This window comes from Homo sapiens, chromosome 19, assembly GCF_000001405.40.
Source record: "Homo sapiens chromosome 19, GRCh38.p14 Primary Assembly".
Classification (NCBI taxonomy): domain Eukaryota; kingdom Metazoa; phylum Chordata; class Mammalia; order Primates; family Hominidae; genus Homo; species Homo sapiens.
Window position 1 is genome coordinate 32,966,696 of NC_000019.10, and position 21,475 is coordinate 32,988,170.

General features: G+C 48.4%; 3 protein-coding genes across 8 annotated transcripts in view, besides 3 other annotated features; 1 reads left to right on the forward strand and 2 right to left on the reverse strand.

Moving 5' to 3' along the window:
• CEP89 (centrosomal protein 89) overlaps window positions 1–5,263 on the reverse strand; it is a 96,034-nt gene extending 90,771 nt beyond the window's left edge. For all 4 annotated transcript variants that reach the window (XM_005259344.4, NM_032816.5, XM_017027398.2 and 1 more), the window contains exon 1: window positions 5,141–5,263. In XM_005259344.4, coding sequence (XP_005259401.1) covers window positions 5,141–5,179 — 39 coding nt within the window. In that variant the 5' untranslated portion in view covers window positions 5,180–5,263. The remainder of the gene's footprint in view (window positions 1–5,140) is intronic.
• Window positions 5,071–5,290: an enhancer, noted in NCBI's record as "active region_14435". NCBI's record gives its function as "activates an Ori minimal core promoter by ATAC-STARR-seq in GM12878 lymphoblastoid cells {active_cell/tissue: GM12878}" and the evidence as "EXISTENCE:reporter gene assay evidence [ECO:0000049][PMID:35858748]".
• Window positions 5,401–5,530: a silencer, noted in NCBI's record as "silent region_10487". NCBI's record gives its function as "represses an Ori minimal core promoter by ATAC-STARR-seq in GM12878 lymphoblastoid cells {active_cell/tissue: GM12878}" and the evidence as "EXISTENCE:reporter gene assay evidence [ECO:0000049][PMID:35858748]".
• FAAP24 (FA core complex associated protein 24) lies at window positions 5,547–11,534 on the forward strand. Of its 3 annotated transcripts, none has more exons than NM_152266.5 (5): window positions 5,547–5,651; window positions 6,489–6,607; window positions 6,731–6,867; window positions 7,365–7,517; window positions 9,736–11,534. In NM_152266.5, exons 2-5 carry the CDS (start codon window positions 6,502–6,504, stop codon window positions 9,985–9,987), a joined length of 648 nt encoding a protein of 215 aa, NP_689479.1. In that variant the 5' UTR covers window positions 5,547–5,651; window positions 6,489–6,501; the 3' UTR covers window positions 9,988–11,534. The 3 variants fall into 3 exon arrangements, with proteins under 3 accessions (NP_689479.1, XP_005259450.1, NP_001287907.1); XM_005259393.4 differs by having other exon boundaries at window positions 6,789–6,867; NM_001300978.2 differs by lacking the exons at window positions 6,489–6,607; window positions 6,731–6,867.
• Window positions 5,671–5,720: an enhancer, noted in NCBI's record as "active region_14436". NCBI's record gives its function as "activates an Ori minimal core promoter by ATAC-STARR-seq in GM12878 lymphoblastoid cells {active_cell/tissue: GM12878}" and the evidence as "EXISTENCE:reporter gene assay evidence [ECO:0000049][PMID:35858748]".
• A 362-nt stretch (window positions 11,535–11,896) lies between the features above and the next one.
• Window positions 11,897–21,475, reverse strand: part of RHPN2 (rhophilin Rho GTPase binding protein 2) — an 86,297-nt gene continuing 76,718 nt past the window's right edge. Inside the window, exon 15 of the mRNA NM_033103.5 lies at window positions 11,897–13,561. Coding sequence (NP_149094.3) covers window positions 13,301–13,561 — 261 coding nt within the window. The 3' untranslated portion in view covers window positions 11,897–13,300. The remainder of the gene's footprint in view (window positions 13,562–21,475) is intronic.

The window sequence follows — 21,475 nt, forward strand, 5'->3', positions numbered from 1 at the left end:
TCCCTCCTCAGAGCTTCCCTGGCTGTCCCCAAGAGTCACCCTCTAGCTCTTCCATGTGTCCCACAGCACTCCCCCCAGTGATGTCTCATGTGGCTCCCCCTGCAGAGCAGGGCGACTTCCTGAGAAGCAAGTGATATCCTTATTGTTTTTCGCTTTGTTTTGTTTTTGAGATGGGGTCTTGCTCTGTTGCCCAGAGTGGAGTGCAGTGGTACGATCATAGCTCACCGCAGCCTCAAACTCCCGCTTCAGCCACACGAGTAGACGGGACTACAGATGTTCACCACCATGCCTAGGTAATTTTTGTATTTTTTTGTAGAGACAGGATCTCACTACATTGCCCAGACTGGTCTCGAACTTCTAGCTTCAAGTGATCCTCCCACCTCAGCTTCCCAAAGTGTTGGGATTATAGGTGCGAGTGCTGCACCTGGCCCACTCTCTTATCTTTATCAATCCTGGAACTCTAGCATTGAGCACATTGCCTCACACCTCATAGGGGCTTAATATAAGCTTTTAGGTGGCTTATCTCCAAGACGAGAGTAATGAAAACTAGCTCCTATACACAATGAAAGTCAGAGAGCTCCGCTTTAGGTAACTGTAACTGGGAGTCTCTGAGACGTTTCTGGGTCTAGTCCAATCATTTTCTTGGCACGAGCCATTCATTCACACCTACTAGAGGCAAAACACCATGACAGCAATGAAGAAACCTTGTCTTCATCCCCAAAGTGGTGAGAAGGGAGGAAAAACACCCAAATAATTATTACAGAACATAGAATTATGGAATGAGCCGGGAGAAAGGCTCTCACTAAAAATGAAAAAAAAAAAAAAGAGCATCAATGAGATGTGGGATAAAAACACTATTGTTTTCTATTTGAAGCCAGTAATTAGCACAAAGTGCTGGGGTGGGCAGGGAGGGAAGATTCCTCCAGGTCTGGGGCCAGCCTGGGAATTTCAAATGCTTTCCTTCGAGAAAATCACACAGGCGTTTAGACTGGGCTTTCAGAGATGCCCACTGGTCCCACATTTGGAAATGTGACGGAACAGCATTCTAGGAAGAGGGAACGGCATGAACAAAGGAATGGAGCAAGACATTGGTTGCAGTGCTCGGAAATCATAAGCACGATTCTCCGTTTTGCTAGACTAGAGGCATCTTCGAGGGTGGGGCTTGGGGGCATGGTGGGGACAATTCCCATGGGAAGGGCTTCCAGAGCAGATGGAGGAAATCCCAAGGCCTAGTGAGGAGCACCCACTGACAGTGGCCCCAGGAATGTTAGGTAGTGGTCAGCACGAGACACAAGGCTGGGAAGGGTGGCACAGAGTGGGGGCATCTTTCAGGAGTGAGGGATGGGCACACCTTCCAGTCATCTCCTACAGCCCCCACCACCGACTTGCACAGCCACCCACAGGAGCAGAAGCTCCAAGCAGTCTCTACCCAATACCCCCACTCTGTTTACCTCTGTGTGGCACCTGCCACCCTGTATTTGTCAAGTGATTCCACAGTTTCCATGTTTCCACCCTGCCCCCCTCCACCACCTGCTACACGACAAGAAATGGTTTTTGTTTGTTTGCTTGTTTTGGAGACAGTCTTGTCTGTCACCCAGGCTGGAGTGCGGTGGCACGATCTTGGCTCACTGCAACCTCCACCTCCTGGGTTCAAGCTATTCTCATGCCTCAGCCTCCCAAGTAGCTAGGACCACAGTCATGTGCCAACATGCCTAGCTAATTTTTGTATTTTGGTAGAGATGGGGTTTTACCATGTTGGCCAGGGTGGTCTCAAACTCCTGACCTCAGGCAATCCGCCTGCCTTGGCCTCCCAAAATACTGGGATTACATGTGTGAACCACTGCACCTGGCCAGAAAAGGTTTTCTTAACCTTTGAATCCCAAGGGCTGGCGTCCAGCAGGTCCTCCAAAAAGGCTGCATAAGATTTTTTTTTTTTAAAGAGTGAATCCCCCCTCATACCATCACAATCATTCCTAACTATGGTCCCCTCATCAATCCTGTCTCTACTGGGCATAAAAACCCTCATGGGCAGCACCACTCTCTCAACGGCAGGCAAATGTCCAGCATGGCTTATCAGGCTGATATAGGTTGGTTCCTACCAAGTGTTATGGGATTTTTGGGGTGTCGATTTTTCTGGCCGGAACCTCTGTGGCCACAGTGCCTTTGCCTGAGTTCTTGTCCTGCATCCAGGAAGAATGAGGTACACAGACAAGTGAAGGGTGAAGAGGAGTTTTATTTAGTGTTAGAAGAGCTCAGAGGAGTGGGTAGCTCCTCTCTGGAGACAGATTGTCCCATGAGCTCAACCATTCAGCTCTCAACAGAGAGGAGGCCCTGGAGAGAGTGGCTCCTCTCCGCAGGCAAGTCATTCCAATGTCTCTGCAGGTCTCTGAAGCTCGCAGCAGAGTGTAGCTCCTCTCTGCTGGCAGGTGGTCTCTGTAGCTTTCAGCGGAGAAGGTACTCCTCTCTGTAGCTGGTCACCCCACCGTCTCCAGCTATCAGCAGAGAGGGTACTGCTCTCTGCAGCTGGTCATCCTGTCCCCTCGTCTCTACCATCTTCATCCTCTGGCTATTCTCTGCGCTGCTCTGGCTGAGCCCAGGGTTTTTATGGACCTCAGCGGGGAAGAAGTGTGTGCTGATTGGGCCATTGGCAGGCCCAGAAAAGGCTCCACGAGTTTCCACTCTGGTCAGAGGGACTGGCAGCCCAGCCCCCAGAATTCAGGCCCTCCCTGGCCTGAGGGTGGGGCCTTACTGGGGACCCCACCCCCTTCCTCCTGCTGCCATTCATGGCTGCAGGTCTTGGCTCCGACTCCCCTCCAAGATCAGAGCAGTTGCTGGAGTGGAGAGAGGCCAGGCAGTGGAAGCAGACACCCCTGAGCCTGCAGGGATGGAGGGTGAAGGGGGCTGTCCTTCCTGGGATGGCCGATGGTGCAGGCTACAGAGATGCCCTCGTCCTGTGCCTGGGGGGGCAGCCACAGCTGCACCTGGGAGCTCCCACCCCGCCAACTTGGAAGAGGCAGGGCTCCCACTTGTCCCTGGCTCCTGCCTGCGCGGCTGCAGCTGCATCTGGAAGGGCAAATTCTGCCTGTTCCCGGCTCCCCCAGGAGCAGAGAGGCTCGGATCCACAGCTGCAGTTTGGGTGGCTGTAGCCCTGCCCAAGAGGGTGGGGCTCCTGCCTGCTCCATAGAGCAGAAGGCCTGGGTCTGCAGCAGCGGTTTGCGGCTCCAGTCCCAACTCATGAGGGACGGGGCTTCCACCGGCTCCATGAAGTGTGCAGCCCTAGCCACACAGCGTGATGGCAGCAGCCACTGCCATCACAAGGACCCAAATTCATTTCTTGCTTCCCCTCCTCTTCCTGCGCAGAGTCCCTGTGCTTCAGCACTCAGCGTGGGCTTCCATTTCCCAAACAGCAAATAATTCATTCTTTTTTAGGCCTTGGTATTTGCTGTCTTCTGCACCCAGAATTCTTTCCTTACTCCCTGCCAGGCCCAGGCCAACTCTCCAGGCTGACGTCACTGCCCTTCTGGTACACACATCAACAGCAGTTCTTGTTTTACCATTGTGTACAGAATTATTTATGGGCTTGTCTATCCTACAGACCGTGTGGCCATAAGCTGTCAGTTGTGGGTATCAGCACACAGCAGGGACTCATTAATGTTTGGGGCTTTAAATAAAAACTCAAGCCAGATGCAGTGGCTCACACCTGTAATCCCAACACTCTGGAGGCCAAGGTGAGAGGATTGCTTGAGCCAAGGTTTAAGACCAGCCTGGGCAGCATACCCAGACCCCATCTCTACCAAAAAAAAAAAATTATGTTTTTTTGAGGCAGAGTCTAGCTTTGTCGCCCAGGCTGGAGTGCAGTGGCACAATCTTGGCTCACTGCAACCTCTGCCTCTCGGGTTTAAGCGATTATCCCACCTCAACCTCCCGTGTAGCTGGGATTACAGGTGCCCACCACCACGCCCGCTAATTTTTGTATTTTTAGTAGAGATGGGTTTTCACCATGTTGGCCAGGCTAATCTTGAACTCCTGACCTCAAATGATCCGCCTGCCTCAGCCTCCCAAAGTGCTGGATTACAGGTGAGAGCCACCTCACGTGGCCTCTACAAAATAATTTTTAAAATTAGCCAGGCATTGAGACTTGGCAGAGTGTGAGGCAAAAAATAAAATAAATAAAAAATACCTAGGTGTGGTGGTGCACACCTGTAGTCCCAGCTACTCAGGAGCCTGAGGCAGGAGGATCACTTGAACCCAAGAGGTTGAAGCCACAGTGAGCTATGATCATGCCACTGTACTCCAGCCTGGGCATCAGGACAAGACCCTGTCTCTAAAACTAAATTAAATAATAAATAAATATAAGAATCCCCTTGGCTGCTACGTGGAGAATGGACCTAGGGGAAGGGCGAGAGTGGAAGCAGAGAAACCAGTGAGGATCTGCCGCAGCAGTCCAGACAGATGCTGGAGGCCGGGGTGTGGGTGGAGATGGGAACAGCTGGCAGATGTATGTAGTGGGTATATCGGATGGGACTTGCTGATGGGGTGTACATGGTGGGTGGAGGAGGGAAAAATGAAGAATGGCTATATCCAGCAGTGCAGCAGGTGTACGTCGTCCAGGAGTTAACTCCGGGCACGGGGACGAATGCTACAGGGGAGGCAGGGTGCTCCTGTCCAACTGTGGCCGACCCTGGGGCAGAAGATTGTTAACGCCGGGCACAGTGGCTCACGCCTGTGATACCAACACTTTAGGAGGCTAAGGAGCTCAAGACCACCATAGGAACATAGCAAGATCCCTGTTTCCACAAAAATATTGAACAATTAGCCGGGAGTAGTGGCGCGCGCCTGTAGTCTCAGCTCCTCGGGAGGCTGGGGTGGGAAGATCGCTTGAGCCCAGGAGTTCGAGGATGCAGTGAGCTATGATCGCACCACTGCACTCTAGCCTGGGCGACAGAGCGAGACCCTGTTTCTTAAAAAAAAAAAAAAAAGTTTAGAACACGAAAAATCAAGGCTTCCTCAACTGAAAACCACTTTCTCTTGTGCCGCCCCCTTGACTGGATCTCAGGCCAAACCCCAACCCGCCCCAACACTTTACCCCTAATTCCCGGCCCCACAGAGCCCCACGCGCGGCGGGCGAGCATCTACTTACGAAATGACTCCTGCGGCCTCTCCGAAATCCCAGGAGCATCCTTGCAGCGCGAGGAGAATGGACCGGGGCCTGGACTCATCAGCAGATCTATCCACAGCCAGGGACCACTCCCTAAAGCCCGCCGCAGGCCCAGCCCTCACGCTTTCTCTTCGCAATGGACTTTGCAGCAACCACGTCGGCCATTGGCTCAGCTCGGCCCTCGACCAATCAGAGCTAAGGTTACTTCCACACCGGTCGTTCTTGGCAACCAGTGGGTACCGTTCAAATCCCCGCCAGGGCGGAAACGTCCGCCCTTATCCGTTCTCTTATTGGTCAGGTTAGACGTCCATTTCTGACGCCACAGCCTATCCGGCGCTGCGGGAGGCGGAGGGCGGGCTGGATGAAGGACTGGGCGAGCACCGAGGGCGTGAACCCGGAAGGTGGCGCGGCCACCAGTAACATGATCTCTAGACTGGGACGGTGGGGTTCCTGCCGGCTGTATTCGGGCCTTGGACTGGACTGAGAAGCTACGGTGCGGATCCAGCTGGGGTATCAGGGGCTAGGCACGTGATGAAAATGAAGGACGCGGACACCAGGACAGGAATCTCCTGGTTCTTAGAGAATTTATTTCGCCACAAATAATTGGCAAACGGGATCTCGCTGTATTGCTCAGGCTGGTCTCGAACTCCTGGGCACAAGCGATCCTCACGCCTCAGCCTTGCCCAATGTTGGGATTACAGACGTGAGCTACCATGCCCAGCCCAGGATTCTTTTAAAACTTAAATCTGATCGTGCCTCTGGCCTTATTGGAATCCAATGCCATTACCACCTCCACCACCACACATCCCGTCTCCAGCCACCCTGGCCTTCATTCAGGCCTTTGTGTTTTCTTTTTCTTTTCTTTTTTTTTTTTTTTTTTGAGACGAGTCTTGCTCTGTCGCCCAGGCTGGAGTGCAGTGGCGCGATCTCGGCTCACTGCAACCTCCGCCTTCCGGATTCAAGCAATTCTCTGCCTCAGCCTCCCAAGTGGCTGGGATTACAGGTGCCCACCACCAAGCCCGGCTAATTTTTTTGTATTTTTAGTAGAGACGCGGTTTCACTATCTTGGCCAGGCTGGTCTTGAACTCCTGACCTTGTGATCCACCCGCCTCGCTCGGCCTCCCAAAGTGCTGGGATTACAGGTGTGAGCCACCGCGCCCAGCCTGTGTTTTCTTATTAGTAATTATAAAGGGAATCTTATTTGACAGTTCTTTGACAAATAATTCAGTTTGCAGAGGGGATCCTGCCCCAGAGGCCCTGGCTTGGAGTGGAATGCAGGGCCGTGTGCAGGAGAGCCTGCTCAAGTGCCGCCTGGCTTTTCCCTCCTTAGGTGGAGACCATCCATGGAAAAGAACCCCCCTGATGATACGGGCCCCGTGCACGTGCCTTTGGGGCATATTGTGGCCAATGAGAAATGGCGCGGGTCACAGCTGGCGCAGGAGATGCAAGGTCGGTGGCCTGCCCTCTGCCAGCCCTTTCCTCCCCTGACATATTAAAAAAAAAAAATCTGCCTATTATTGCCATCTTTTCATCCAAAGCTTATGGAACTCATTTTCTTCTCTGTATTTTAAGGGAAAATTAAGCTCATTTTCGAGGATGGCTTGACACCAGACTTTTATCTGTCGAACAGATGCTGCATTCTTTATGTCACCGAAGCTGATTTGGTGGCAGGAAATGGCTACAGAAAGAGGCTTGTTCGGGTTAGAAATGTAAGTATTAGGCTGGGTGCTGTGGCTCACGCCAGTAATCCCAGCACTTTGGGAGGCCAAGGCGGGTGGATCACCTGAGGTCAGTAGTTGGAGACCAGCCTGGCCAACATGGTGAAACCCTGTCTCTGCTAAAAATACAAAAATTAGCTGAGTATGGTGGCGCACGCCTGTAATCCCAGCTACTAGGGAGGCTGAGACGGGAGAATTGCTTGAGCCTGGGAGGCAGAGGCTGTAGTGAGCCGAGATCACGCCACTGCACTCCAGCCTGGGCGACAGAGTGAGATTCCAACTCAAAAAACAAAAAACAAAAACAAAAAAGAAATGTAAGCATTGGATTAAAGAAACTCGAACATTGATTTGTCTCACCCCACCCTTCCCTCCATCCCTTGGTATCATTTATTTAAAATCATTGGCCAGGTCAGGCACGAAGTGATAGCATTCTTAACCTGAAAAGCAATTTGGTTGCAAAATGACTTACTGTCTTTTTTCCTTTCAAGTCCAATAATCTTAAAGGAATTGTAGTCGTTGAAAAAACCCGGATGAGTGAACAATACTTCCCAGCCCTACAGAAGTTTACTGTGCTGGACCTTGGAATGGTGCTGCTTCCAGTGGCCAGCCAGATGGAAGCATCCTGCCTCGTCATCCAGTTGGTGAGTACCGATTCCTACACCTTCGTGGTAGTCCTGTCCTCATGGACACTCAGCTGCTCTCCAGAAGCAACCATCAATCCAATCTATGTCATTCTCTGACTTGGTTTATAAAATCTCTTCGAGGAATTTAAATGCGGAAGCTGCCTCTGCAGCCAGCTCAGCTTGTCACACACTCCAGGCAAGTGTATCACAAAGTATACAAGTTGGAGACCTGATTTTAGATTCTCAGGGTGTGATGGCTCCATCAGTCATTATCCTGCCCTTTCGCTGGTGAAAACGTCAACCTAGAGGCCAGGCGTGATGGCTCATGCTTGTAATCCCAGCACTTTGGGAGGCGGAGGCGGGAGGATCACTTGAGGCCAGCAGTTCGAGACCAGCCTGGCCAACATGGCAAAACCCTGTCTCTACTAAAAATACAAAAATTAGCTGGGCGTGGTGGTGGGTGCATGTAATCCCAGCTACTCCGGAGGCTGAGGCAGGAGAATCACCTGAACTGAGGAGGTGGAGGTTGCAGTGAGTGGAGATGCTCCATTGCACTCCAGCCTGAGCAACAGGAGCGAAACTTTGTCTCAAAAAAAGAAAGAAAGAAAGAAAATGTTAACTAGAAGCTGCTTTGTCTCATCCCGTATTTTTGTTAAGCATCAGCACCTTGTGCAAGTTTTTTTTTTTTCCCTTTTTTTTGAGGCGGAGTCTCGCTCTGTCCTACAGGCCAGAGTGCAGTGGTACAATCTTGGCTCACTGCCATCTCCACCTCCCGGGTTCAAGCCATTCTTCTGCCTCAGCCTCCCGAGTAGCTGGGACTACAGGCACGCACCACCACACCCGGCTAATTTTTGTATTTTTAGTAGACAGGGTTTCACCATATTGGCCAGGCTGGTCTCAAACTCCTGACCTCATGATCCGCCCACCTTGGCCTCCCAAAGTGCTGGGATTACAGGTGTGAGCCACCATGCCTGGGCAGTTTTTTTTTTTTTTTAGATAGGGTCTTGCTCTGTCATTCCAGCTGGAGTGCAGTGGTGCAATCTTGGCTTACTGCAACCTTTGCCTCCTGGGTTCAAGCGATTCTCCTGCCTCAGCCTCCCTAGTACCTGGGATTACAGGCACCCACCACCATGCCCGGCTAATTTTTGTATTTTTAGTAGAGATAAGAGTTTCACCATGTTGGCCAGGCTAGTCTCAAACTCCTGACCTCAGGTGATCTGCCTGCCTCAGCCTCCCAAAGTTCTGGGCCACCGCACCAACCAACACTTTTTTTTTTTTTTTTGAGATGGAGTTTCGCTCTTGTTGCTCAGGTTGGAGTGCAATGATGCAGTCTCGGCTCACTGCAACCTCCTCCTCCTGAGTTCAAGTGATTCTCCTGCCTCAGCCTCCCGAGTAGCTGGAATTACAGGTGCCCGCCACCACGCCCAGCTAATTTGTATTCTTAGTAAAGACGGGGTTTCTCCATGTTGGTCAGGCTGGTCTCGAACTCCCGACCTCAGGTGTTGTGCCCGCCTCAGCCTCCCAAAGTGCTGGGATTACAGTCGTGAGCCATCGCGCCCGGCCGCCAACACTTATTTTTAAAATCAGTTTAGTAGCTTACGCCTCTGATCCCAGCATGGGGAACATCAATTGTGTGTGTGTGTTGTTTGTTTTTTTCACTTTTGTTTTCTTTGTTATGTGTGTGTTGTTTTTAAATCACCCCCTCTGATGTGGAGCTAGAGTTGAGAGCCACATTGAAGATGCAAGCAGCCATGAATGGTTCACAGATCCCTCTCTACTATATCCCTTGCGTCACCGTTCCTAACTTTCCTTGATATAACACTGTTGTCTGCCTTAGTATAACCACCACTAACTAGACCAGGTTTCTCCTTTGAGGCAGGCTTCCTGCAGCTCCTGCGTGAAGTAGGCCTAGTTTAGGTGTAGCCATCATTTAATCCTGCACAACTGAAATGTTTCTTAATGGACCAACAGAAAGTGTTTGAATTCATCTGTGTGTTTTTCTAAACATTCTGAAAACGCACATTTTTGTAAATTAATGTCTTAACTCCTTTGTGTGGTTCACCTTTCAATAATTTTACTGATGTCTGAGAAATTATATTCATGATACATGAAAACATTTGTTCCCTTAAGTCAAGCTGAGCCAAATGGAAAAACGCAATTTCTACAAAACATATTTTAAGAAAACGGCCAGTCCTCCAGAGGGCGCTCACGTGCTGTTGCTTTCATTGTGGTTCAGGTTCAAGAGCAAACCAAAGAGCCCAGTAAGAACCCTCTTCTCGGGAAGAAACGGGCCCTGCTGCTGTCTGAGCCTTCGCTCCTTCGAACCGTGCAGCAGATCCCAGGAGTTGGAAAAGTTAAAGCTCCCCTTCTCCTCCAGAAGTTTCCAAGCATCCAGCAACTGAGTAATGCTTCCATTGGGGAACTGGAGCAGGTGGTCGGACAAGCAGTGGCACAGCAGATCCATGCCTTCTTCACGCAGCCCAGGTGAGGGCTGGCCTCAGGGCCACGGCATCTTCTCCTGAGACCACAAACACCAGGATCTTGTTTTCAGCTTTAAAAACCAAGAGAATGGGCCGGGTGCACTGGCTCACGCCTCTAATCTCAGCACTTTGGGAGGCCGAAGACAGCGGATCATCTGAGGTCAGGAGTTCAAGACCAGCCTGGCCAACATGGAGAAACCCCTAAAAATAGGAACAATTAGCCAGGCATGGTGACAGGTGCCTGTAATCCCAGCTACTTGGGAGGCCGAGGCATGAGAATCACTTGAACCCGGGAGGCGGAGGTTGCAGTGAGCTGAGATCGTGCCACTGCACTCCAGCCTGGGCACCAGAGCGAGACTCCGTCTCAAAGAAAACAACAAAAAAAAAAAAAAAAGAAAAAGGATTTTCTCCAGCAGCAACCAGTGAAAGATGAGGCGAGGCTTGAATGGAGCCCGTGGGTCGTCCTGCCTTAGCGTCTGAGTTCAGCTTGTGAAGTTAGTGGGCCGCAGAGGGCACTGCCTTCATTCTGCTAAGACGAAAAGGGCTGGTGGGATCTTCGCAAGAGAGTCAGGGACTCACACTCAGCAAAAAGCATTAGGGCCGATTTTAATGTGCGACCTTGACCTGCATCTGTCATGGAAAGTGCCTTCTAAAAAGCTTCAGTGGTGGATGTGACCATCTGAAGGAAACAAATGTACAAGGAAGCACTGTGTATCCTAAGCCCTGGGTTCCCAGAGTTTCACCTGCTGTTCATCAGGTCTGGCCTTCATATACCCGTACTGCGAGGGCTGTTTCCAATGTAAATAAATAACTGCGCAACAGTTCCTTCCTCCTTTCCTTTGTTCCTCCCTCCCCCCGGCCTTTTTTTTTGGCAGATGTACAGTTTGTTTATAATCACTGCATATGTCTTCTGCACACAGAAAGTATGAAGTCTGAAGTTCCCACTTAAAGTTGAAAACTCAACGGCCGGGCATAGTGGCTCACACCTGTAATCCCAGCACTTTGGGAGGCCAAGGGGGGTGAATCACAAGGTCAGGAGATCCAGACCATCCTGGCCGACATGGTGAAGCCCTGTCTCTACTAAAAATACAAAAATTAGCTGGGTGTGGTGGCACACACCTGTAATCCCAACTACTCAGGAGACTGAGGCACGAGAATCGCTTGAACCCAGGAGGTGGAGGTTGCAATGGGCCGAGATTGCACCACTGCACTCCAGCCTGGATGACAGAGTGAGACTCCATCTCAAAAAAAAAAAAAAAAAATTTAAAGTTGAAAACTCAACATGCATGAGGCAGAACAGGCTGTGTTTGTATATGAAAGGCCCAACAATGGAAGGATACAAGAAAATGATGGCAGCAGCTGCATCTAGTGAGGGAAGCAGGGGCTGGGGATCAAAAGGTACAAATTGCCCATTCAAAAAATAGACACAGGCCAGGCACAGTGGCTCACACCTGTAGTCCCAGCACTTTGGGAGGCTGAGGTGGGAGGATTGCTTGAGTCCAGGATTTCGAGATCAGCCTGGGCAACATGGCAAGACCCCATCTCTACAAAAAAATCAAAAAAATTAGCCAGGCATGGTGGCTCATGCCTGTAGTCCCAGCTACTCAGGAGGGTGAGGTGGGAGGATTGCTTGAGCCCGGAAGGTTGAGGCTGCCATGAGCCACAATTGCGCCACTGTCCTCCTGCCTGGGTGACAAAGCGAGACCCTGTCTTGAAAAAAAGACAAAAACAAAAAATAAGCACAAAGATACCATCTGTCTTAGAAAATACTAAGATAACTTGACAGCTTTTTAAGTTCTGCTTTGTGAAATGTTAGTAACTAAAAAAATCAGAACATTAGAAACTGTGTGCATTGGGGAGAAACAATTTGAAAGAGGAGGGAATGAAAATGAAATAAAAGTAAAAAGAAATATTAACTCGGGTAAATGAATATGTTTATTTAAATATGTATACAAGCATGGCCCTAGGAGCAGCAGATACACTTTCCCAAAGGTGGTTGCTTCCTTTAAGATATTGCACAATAGAAAATAAACTCTTGTCAATCCTTAAAATTAGTCTTCAATGCTATGTATTTTAGCTATGTAACTTGTACTGTGTCAACAGTGAACCTTATTAGATTCACGGTGTCATCGAACTTATAGCAAGATAAAAATCAATCAGTAGGAATGTCATTTTAAAAAGTAAAATAGTGGGACGGTTGTGGTGGCTCATGCCTGTAATCCCAGCACTTTGGGAGGCTGAGGTGGGTGGATCATTTGAGGTCAGGATTTCGAAACCCGCCTGGCCAACATGGTGAAACCTCACCTCAACTAAAAATACAAAAATCAGCCAGGCATGCTGGAGGGCACCTTGTAGTCCCAGCTATTTGGGAGGCTGAGGTAGGAGAATCGCTTGATCCCAGGGGGCGGAGGTTGCACTGAGCTGAGATCACACCACTGCACTCCAGCCTGGGCAACACAGCAAGACGCTATCTCAAACAAAAAAAGGAAGTCAAATAGAGCTTTAAACCTGAATCATTTACATCTTTACTTTATAAAATGTAAAACTACTTTTTTACCCAAGACTTAAAATATAGAATTATGTAACTTCTACTTTAAACAAAATGAAAAATGTTTTGAGTATCAAACAGTATATTATCTACCTTGTAGACAGCATCTTCATCTAACACTGCCACTGTGTTAGTAATTCTTAAATGACATCAAACTAGAAGAAAAGCTGCTCCTACATTGTTTTTATTTAATAAGACAAATTTGGCACTAGACTTTTTCTAGAAATAGCATTCATAGTCTATCGATATAATAGTAACATCTTGTTTTAGGTTAATGAATTCCTATTAGGAAGCAGCACTTTGGGACAGTTTTTAGTGACACTAATTTAATTCTATCATTACAGTCCTCTGACCTGCCTTAATTCCAGGATCATCTGAATTCTAGGTTAAGGAATGATTATTAGCCAAACCTGGAAACAACTACAAATTGTACTGATATAGGTAACCCCAATTTAATAGTGACTAAAAGTCATAATTGTCACCATTAAAAATAGCCATATTTCATATCTTCAACACTATTCTATTTACAATACTTTATATAATAAATAACTTACAGCAGTATAGTAACACACCTCAAAAAAGTTCTTTTTTCACTAATTCCTAGAGGTTTCTTGGTTACTTTCCTTCATAAAAACACATCAAATGTGAGTTTACACTATGAGAAAAACAGGATTTGAGAACAGATAGATAGATATTTTCCATTATGGCACAAACGTTTAAGGCCGAGTCAGCACCGGAAATGTTCAGGGCCTGAACATGTTTGTTTCCTCACATTAGTACCAAGAACTGTCTGAGTTGAGAAGGCTGAAAGGGGAGGGCAGCTTCTTCTTGACCTGAGGCCGTGCAGCCCCGACCGATGGGAGGCACAAGGTGCTGGCTGACTTCTGTCTGTTCTTGTTGGTGCCCCAACTCAGGAAGGAAAGCTTCTTGGAGATTTTCTTGGTTTTATCAGTTTTGTCGTCATCATCAATGGCTAAGCAGATCATGGAGTACGTTTTCTGCATTCCCACGGAGTATGTGGCACTCTTATTATGCTGCACATAGAAAAGTAAGAAAAAGGGCGTCAGGCATCATCAAGATAGATGATAAAAACTACGAAGTTTGGCCAGGCGCGGTGGCTCACACCTGTAATCCCAACAGTTTGGGAGGCCGAGGAAGGCGGATCACTTGAGGTCAGGAGTTCAAGACCAGCCTGGCCAACATGGTGAAACCCCATCTCTACTAAAATACAAAAATTAACCAGGTGTGGTGGTGGATGTCTGTAGTCCCAGCTGCTTGGAGCCTGGGCACAAGAATCACTTGAACCCAGGAGGTGGAGGTTGCAGTGAGCTGAGATCACACCACTGCACTCCAACCTGGGTGACAGAGCAGGATTCTGTCTCCAAAAAATAAATTGAACAGACATAATTCGGAAACTCAGGTGACCAATGCTTATATAGAATTAGGTTCTTAAAACAAGGACAAACTTTTTTTCTTTTTTGAGACAGGGTCTTGCTATGTTGCCCAGGCTGGTCTTAAACTCCTGGGCTCAAGCGATCTTCCTGCCTTGGCCTCCTGAGTAGCTGGGGCTCTAGGTGTGCACCACCAGGTCCAACAAGGATAATTTTTTGTTTGTTTTTTGTTTTTGTTTTTTAAGACAGAGTCTCACTCTGTCGCCCAGGCTGGAGTGTAGTGGTACGATCTCGGCTCACTGTAAGCTCCGCCTCCCGGGTTCACGCCATTCTCCTGCCTCAGCCTCTCTGAGTAGCTGGGACTACAGACACCCGCCACCACACCTGGCTAATTTTTTGTATTTTTAGTAGAGACGGGGTTTCACCCCTTCTCGATCTCCTGACCTCGTGATCCGCCCGTCTTGGCCTCCCAAAGTGCTGGAATTATAAGCGTGAGCCACCACGCCCGGCCCAACAAGGATAATTTTTAAGGAATGTACTCAATAGTAACAATTTAAGCTTAGGAGCCACAACTCATATTTTAAGGTTCTTCTTCTATTTGAGAAAGTAATAATACTCATGGTCACGAATATGAAAGTACAGGGTGGGGCGCGGTGGCTCACAACTACAGTCCCAGCTACCTGGGAGGCTTAGAGGGGAAGATTGCTTGAGCCCAGGAGGTTGAGGCTATAGTGAGCTGTGATTGTGCCACTGCACTCCAGCCTGGGCGACAGAGTGAGACCTCTGTCTCAAAATAAAAAAAAAGGGGGGGGGCGGGGGGAAGGGAAGAGGGGAAAGGAAGGGAAGAGGGGAAGGAAAGGGAAGAGGAGAAGGGAATGGAAGAGGGCAAGGGAAGGGAAAAAAAAAAAAAGAGTATGCAGTGAGCAATAGGTCTCCCTGTCACCTGGGCTTCTAAGGCCCTCCATGTTATACTTCTAGAGATGATGTACAAGTATTTCTATATGTACCTAAGTATATTACCATTCATTTTCTTAAAAGGAATATACTACACTATTCTACACCTGATTTTCTTTTTTTCTTTTTTTTCTTTTTCCTTTTTTTTTTTTTTTTTAAGATGGAGTCTCGCTCTGTCGCCCAGGCTGGAGTGCCATTTTTATCATTTTCAAGTGTAGAGTTCGGTGGCATTAATTACATTCACATCATTATGCTCCACTGCCACCATCCATCTCTAAAACTTTTTCATCTTCCTCAGCTGAAACTTTGTACCATTAAACACTCTCTACTATTAACTTTCCAAGAATCATGTAGGATTCAAACTGGAAATCTAAGGAAGCTTGCTTTCTGAAGACTTCCACATGGGCTATCACCGGCTTCTAAGGTTTGCCTAACATTGAGATTGTTTAGTTCGCCACATGTTTATTGATGGTCTACTATGTTCTGGCACTAAAATTAGGCATACAATATATCGCTGCAATAGTTGAGGACATTGTTCCTAATATAAACCCTAAGAGGGGCCGGGCACAGTGTCTTACACCTGTAATCCCAACATTTTGGGAGGCTGAGTTGGGCAGATCACTTGAGGCCAGGAGTTCAAGACCATCGTGGCCAACATGGTGAAACCCCATCTCTACTAAAAATACAAAAATCAGCCAGGTGTGGTGGTGCACACCTGTAATCCCAGCTACTCAGGAGCTGAGGCAGAAGAATCACTTGAACCCAGGAGGCGGAGGTTGCAGTGAGCCCAGATCACGCCACTGCACTCCAGCCTGGGCGATGGAGTGAGACGCTATTGCAAAAAATAAATAAATAATAAATAAATAAATAAAATAAACCCTCAGAGGAATCTGAGTTATGCAGCAATAAAGTAGGGGGTACTTCGAGCCCCTAAGGATGGAGATGCCTCTTCCTTTTCTGGAAAACTGACCGCTAACTCCACCATGTTTTACGGAGCACACACAATGTCATTTAAAACAATAATAAAACGAATAATCCTGGAGACAGATGTGAGGCCTGAAAGCATTTCCCAACCCTCAGCTGCTCAAAGTCCATTGTGTATCAAAACCACTGCCTTATAAATACCCTCAGTTCTCTTCCATCTGCCCCCACTCGCTCATCTCCACCCTCTGCCTCCCCTAGGGCCTGTATCTGAAAGGTTGTGCGTTGCTGGAGGACACTCACCAAGGCTTCCCTTGGAATTCTAACCTGACCCCAAACCTCTAATAGGCACCCATTTCCTGGCACTTCTGTGTGTCCCTAGTAATTTCATTTCCTTTTCTCCTGTATACTTGTTTCTTATCTTCGCTCTCCTCCTGAAGCCACTCACGCACCCTCCTGACATCCCTGCCGTATACTTCATGGCATCCGTCCCCCAAGACCAAGCCCTTCTGTGTGCCTGGATCCCATTCCCTCTCTCCTCCAGGCACCCTTGCCTCCCAGATCTCTACACACACACACACACACACACACACACACACACACACACTCCTGCAATGCGTACCATCACATTCTTTGAAAAGCTTTTCTTGGCCCAGATCTCTACACACACACAAACACACACACACACACACACACACACTCCTGCAATGCGTACCATCACATTCTTTGAAAAGCCTTTCTTGGCGGGGCGTGGTGGCTCACGCCTGTAATCCCAGCACTTTGGGAGGCCAAGGCGGGCAGATCACAAGGTCAGGAGATTGAGACCATCGGGGCTAACATGGTGAAACCCTGTCTCTACTAAAAATACAAAAAATTAGCCGGGCGTGGTGGCGGGCACCTGTAGTCCCAGTTACTTGGGAGGCTGAGGCAGGAGAATGGCATGAACCAGGAGGTGGAGCTTGCAGTGAGCTGAGATAGCGCCACTCACTGCATTCCAGCCTGGGTGACAGAACGAGACTGTCTCAAAAAAAAAAAAGTAAAGCCTTTCTTGACCCTGTTCCCCTCCAGGTCCACCCCAGTATCATACCCACACACACTCTCTCACTCCTGCAATGTGTACCACTACTTTCTTTTAAAAGCCTTTTTTTTTTTTTTTTTTTGAGACGGAGTCTTACTGTCACCAGACTGGAGTGCAGTGGCCCAATCTTGGCTCACTGCAACCTCCACCTCCAGGTTCAAGTGATTCTCCTGCCTCAGCCTCCCAAGTAGCTGGGATTACAGGCACATGCCACCACACCCAGATAATTTTTGTATTTTTAGTAGAGACAGGGTTTCACCATGTTGGCCAGGTTGGTCTTGAACTTCTGGCCTCAAGTGATCCACCTGCCTCAGCCTCCCAAAGTGCTGGGATTACAGGCGTGAGCCACTGTGCCCAGCTCCATTTACTGTTTCTTTCCCCACCACCCATTCCTCACTCAAATCCACCTGGGGTACCCCTCTAGAACTCTTAGGGCTTTACAGAGCACAGTTTAAAACCACTGTGTAGGCCTAACTCTTCCATCCTCTGGATGAGAAAACCGAGGCCCAAGGAGGGTATGAACGTGCTGAAGGTTACACAGCTTGTGAACGGCAGTCAGGGCCTAATTCCAGAGCTTGATTCCAAGCTTAGATTTGTTCAACTAGGGATCCCCACTGTAGTCAAGAGGGTAGCCAAGGGCAGCAGGTCATCAGTTCAGCCAGAGTGCTAGGCTAAATGTTCTCTTTATTTGATTTTGTTTGAAAGGCTCAGTCGCTAAAAACAGTGCTTGACTGTCATTATCTAAAATCCTTATCATAAAAATTAATAGACAAAAATAATTTTTAAAAAATTATTTTTAAAAAGCCAGGGGCTGGGCATGGTGGCTCACTCCTGTAATCCCAGCACTTTTGGGAGGCCAAGGCGGGCCAATCACCGGAGGCCAGGAGTTCAAGATCAGCCTGGCCAATATGGTGAAACCCCATCTCTACTAAAAATACAAAAATTAGCCAGACATCGTGGTGGGTGCATGTAATCCCAGCTACTCGGGAGGCTGAGGCAGGAGAATCGCTTGAACCCGGGAGGTGAGGTTGCAGTGAGCCAAGATTGCACCACTGCACTCCAGCCTGGATGACAAGAGCAAGACTCTGTCTCCAAAAAAAAAGAGCCAGGTACAGTGGCTCACGCCTGTAATCCCAACTATTCGGGAGGCTGATTCAAGAGGGTCTCTTGAGGCTAGAAATTCAAGATCAGCTTGGATAACTTAGTTAGACCTCGTCACCACAAAATTAATTAATAAAAGACAAAAGGAAATTACTTTTGGCCTGGTGCAGTGGCTCATTCCTGTAATCCTAACACTTTGGGAGGCGGAGGCAGGCAGATTGCTTAAGCCCAGGAGTTTGGGACCAGCCTGGGCAACAAAATGAGACTGTCACTACAAAAAAATTAAAAATTAGCTGGGTATAGTGGTGCACGCCTATAGTCCCAGCTACTTGGTAGGATTTTTTTTTTTGAGATGGAGTCTCCCTCTCTTGCACAGGCTGGAGTGCAGTGGCACAATCTCGGCTCACTGCAACCTCTGCCTCCTGGGTTCAAGCAATTCTCCTGCCTTGGCCTCCCAAGTAGCTGGGATTACAGGCGCCCGCCACCACCACGCCCAGGGTTTTGCCATGTTGACCAGGCTGGTCTCCAACTCCTGACCTCAGGTGATGAGAAGGGAGGATCTTTTGAGTCCTAGAACTCGAAGCTGTAGTCAGCTATGATTGCACTATTGCACTCCAGCCTGGGCAACTGAGTTAGACCCTGTCTCAAAACAAACAAAACAAAAAACAACAACAAAAGAAATTATTTGGCCGGGCATGCTGGCTTATGCCTGTAATCCCGGCACTTTGGGAGGCAAGGTAGGCGGATTGCTTGAGCTTAGAAGTTAGAGAACAGCTAGGGCAACACGGTGAAGCCCCGTCTCTACAAAAAATACGAAAAATTAGCTGGGTATGGTGTTCCATGCCTGTAGTCCTAGCTACTCAGGAAGCGGAGATGGGAGGATCACGTAAGCCCAAGAGTCAAGGCCACAGTGAACCGATATTGCGCCAGGGCAACGAGAGCGAGACCCTGTCTCAAAACAAAAAACAAACCTTCTTTTTTCTAGACAGGGTCTCACTCTGTCACGCAGGCTGGAGTACAGTGGCTCGATCTCGGCTCACTGCAACCTCTGCCTCCCAGGCTCAAGTGATTCTCATGCCTCAGCCTCCCACATAGCTGGGATTGCAGGCATGCACCACCACATCCTGCTAATTTTTGTATTTTTAGTAGAGACAGGGTTTTGCCACGGTGGCCAGGATGGTCTCGAACTCCTGGCTTCAAGTGATCCGCCGGCCTTGGCCTCCCAAAGTACTAGGATTATAGGAGTGAGCCACTGTGCCCAGCCTAAAAACATTATTTTTAAAAAAATTAAAGAGGACCTGCTAGGTGAAAAGAATAAACATCATGATCATGGTTATCATCATTATAATGTCTATTGTGGATTGAAATGTAGCTCCTGTTTGGCCCTCTTGTAAGGGCTTTATGTAAACTCAGTTTATCCTGAGGCTCACAGCTATTCCCTGACTTGCTGAAGGCCACACAACTGGTGGTGGAAAGCCAGGATACACATCTAGACTGTCTGAGTGCAGAACCCTTGCTTTCAGCTACTACAGCAGCCCCTTCCTTGGCCTGGTGTAACGATGTCACAGGCTTGAAAGTCAAGCCTTTGCACCTCTCACAGGGGGCAGGGCATGCCCCAGAAACTCAGGCCTCTGCTGATGGGGTCCCTACTCCAACCTTCAGTGTGTGGCTTGGCTCTTTTCTCTAACCTCCTTTTGGACAAACGTCTTTTCTGTTTCTGCTGGGGACCTTAATCACTTGTCCAGAAACTCCATGGATTTTGTCCCTAAAAATATGATTTCTTATGATCCCTTCTCCCAAGATGCTCTGAGTCCCTTGACTTTATCTTCTTTTAAAATTTGAAGTATGTCGGGTGAGGTGGCTCACGCCTGTAATCCCAGTACTTTGGGAGGCTAAGGTAGATGGATCTCGAGGTCAGGAGTTCGAGACCAGCCTGACCAACATGGAGAAACCCTGTCTCCACTAAAAATACAAAAATTAGCCAGGCATAGTGGTGCCCACCTATAATCCCAGTCACTCGGGAAGCTGAGGCAGGAGAATCACTTGAATCCAGGAGGCGGAGGTTGCAGTGAGCCGAGATCACGCCACTGCACTCCAGCCTAGGAAATAGTGCAAGACTCTGTCTCAAAAAAAAAAAAAAAAAATTTTGAGATATAATTCACATACATGCATAAAATTCACCATTTTAATACCCTTCTGTGGCTTTTATTTATTATTTTTATTTTTGAGACAGGGTCTTGCTCTGACACCCAGGCTGGAGTGCAGTGGTACAATCATAGCTCACTGCAGCCCCAACCTCCTTGGGCTCAAGTGATCCTCCTGCCTCAGCCTCCCAAGCAGCTGGGACTACAGGCATACGCCACCATGCCTCGCTAATTTTTTTTATTTTTTGTAGAGACAAGGTCTCGCCATGTTGCCCAGGCTGGTCTCGAACTCCTGGGCTCAAGCGAACATACTGCCTCAGCCTCTCAAAGTGCTGGAATTACAGGTGTGAGCCAGCATGCCAAGACACCAGTGATTTTTAGTATATTCACAAAGTTAGGTGACCATCACTACTACCTAATTTCAGAACATTTCCATCCCCCTAAAAAGAAACCTTCTACCTTATGACCCTTCAGCAGTCCCTCCCGACTCCCATTGCCCAGCCCCAGCACCATCTACTTTTTGTCTCTGGATTTGCCTATGCTGAGCATTTTATATCCATGGACTCAAAATCCATTGGCTCTCTGGCCCTCTCTCAACTGACTTCTGCTGCCACCTCTCCACCAAAGTGTCTTTTCATCCTGCTGCCAAATACAATAGGCACAGCTAAGGCGACCTCATTCTCCACCACTCAACTGCATTCAATGCAACCCATCACCCTCTCACTGCAAAGCTTTCTCCTCTTAATTTGAGAAGCTCCTTTCCTCCGACATCTCTGAACTCTCCTCCATTTTCTTTGCACTTGCTTCTCTTCCAACTGATCTCTAAATGTTTAGCCCTCAGCCCTAGCCCCCTTGCAGGGAGCTGCATTTTGTCTCACAGCCTCAAATATCATCCCTGTGCAATGATTCTCAAATATTTATTTCTAGCTCTGATTTCTTCCTCGAACTGTAAGACTTCACATTCGATCTCCTCCTTTATGCTTACGTCTGACTGCTAATAGCATCTGGAACATTCAAAACATGACTCTTGATTTCTCTCTCCTTCACCTCCCTCACACCCATTACCCATCATTATGAAAAATAACCAGGCCAGGCATGGTGGCTCATGCCTGTAATCCCAACACTTTGGGAGGCGGAGGTGGGAGGATCGCTTAAGGCCAGGAGTTTGAGGCCAACCTTGGCAATATATAAAGGCCCCATCTCTACCAAAAAAAATTTACCATAGATAGATAAACAAATTAGCCAGGCATAGTGGTACACACCTGTAGTTCCAGCTACTCGGGAGGCTGAGGCAAAAGGATTGCCTGAGCCTAGGAAGTCAAGGCTACAGTGAGCTACGATTGCACCACTGCATTCCAG

Bases quoted from the DNA above. Each gene is read 5' to 3' on its own strand.
- FAAP24 (NM_152266.5), top strand. From the start codon at position 6,502: ATGGAAAAGAACCCCCCTGATGATACGGGCCCCGTGCACGTGCCTTTG. The intron at 6,608-6,730 runs GTCGGTGGCCTG...CTGTATTTTAAG, and splicing joins GCTGGCGCAGGAGATGCAAG to GGAAAATTAAGCTCATTTTC. The intron at 7,518-9,735 runs GTGAGTACCGAT...ATTGTGGTTCAG, and splicing joins CCTGCCTCGTCATCCAGTTG to GTTCAAGAGCAAACCAAAGA.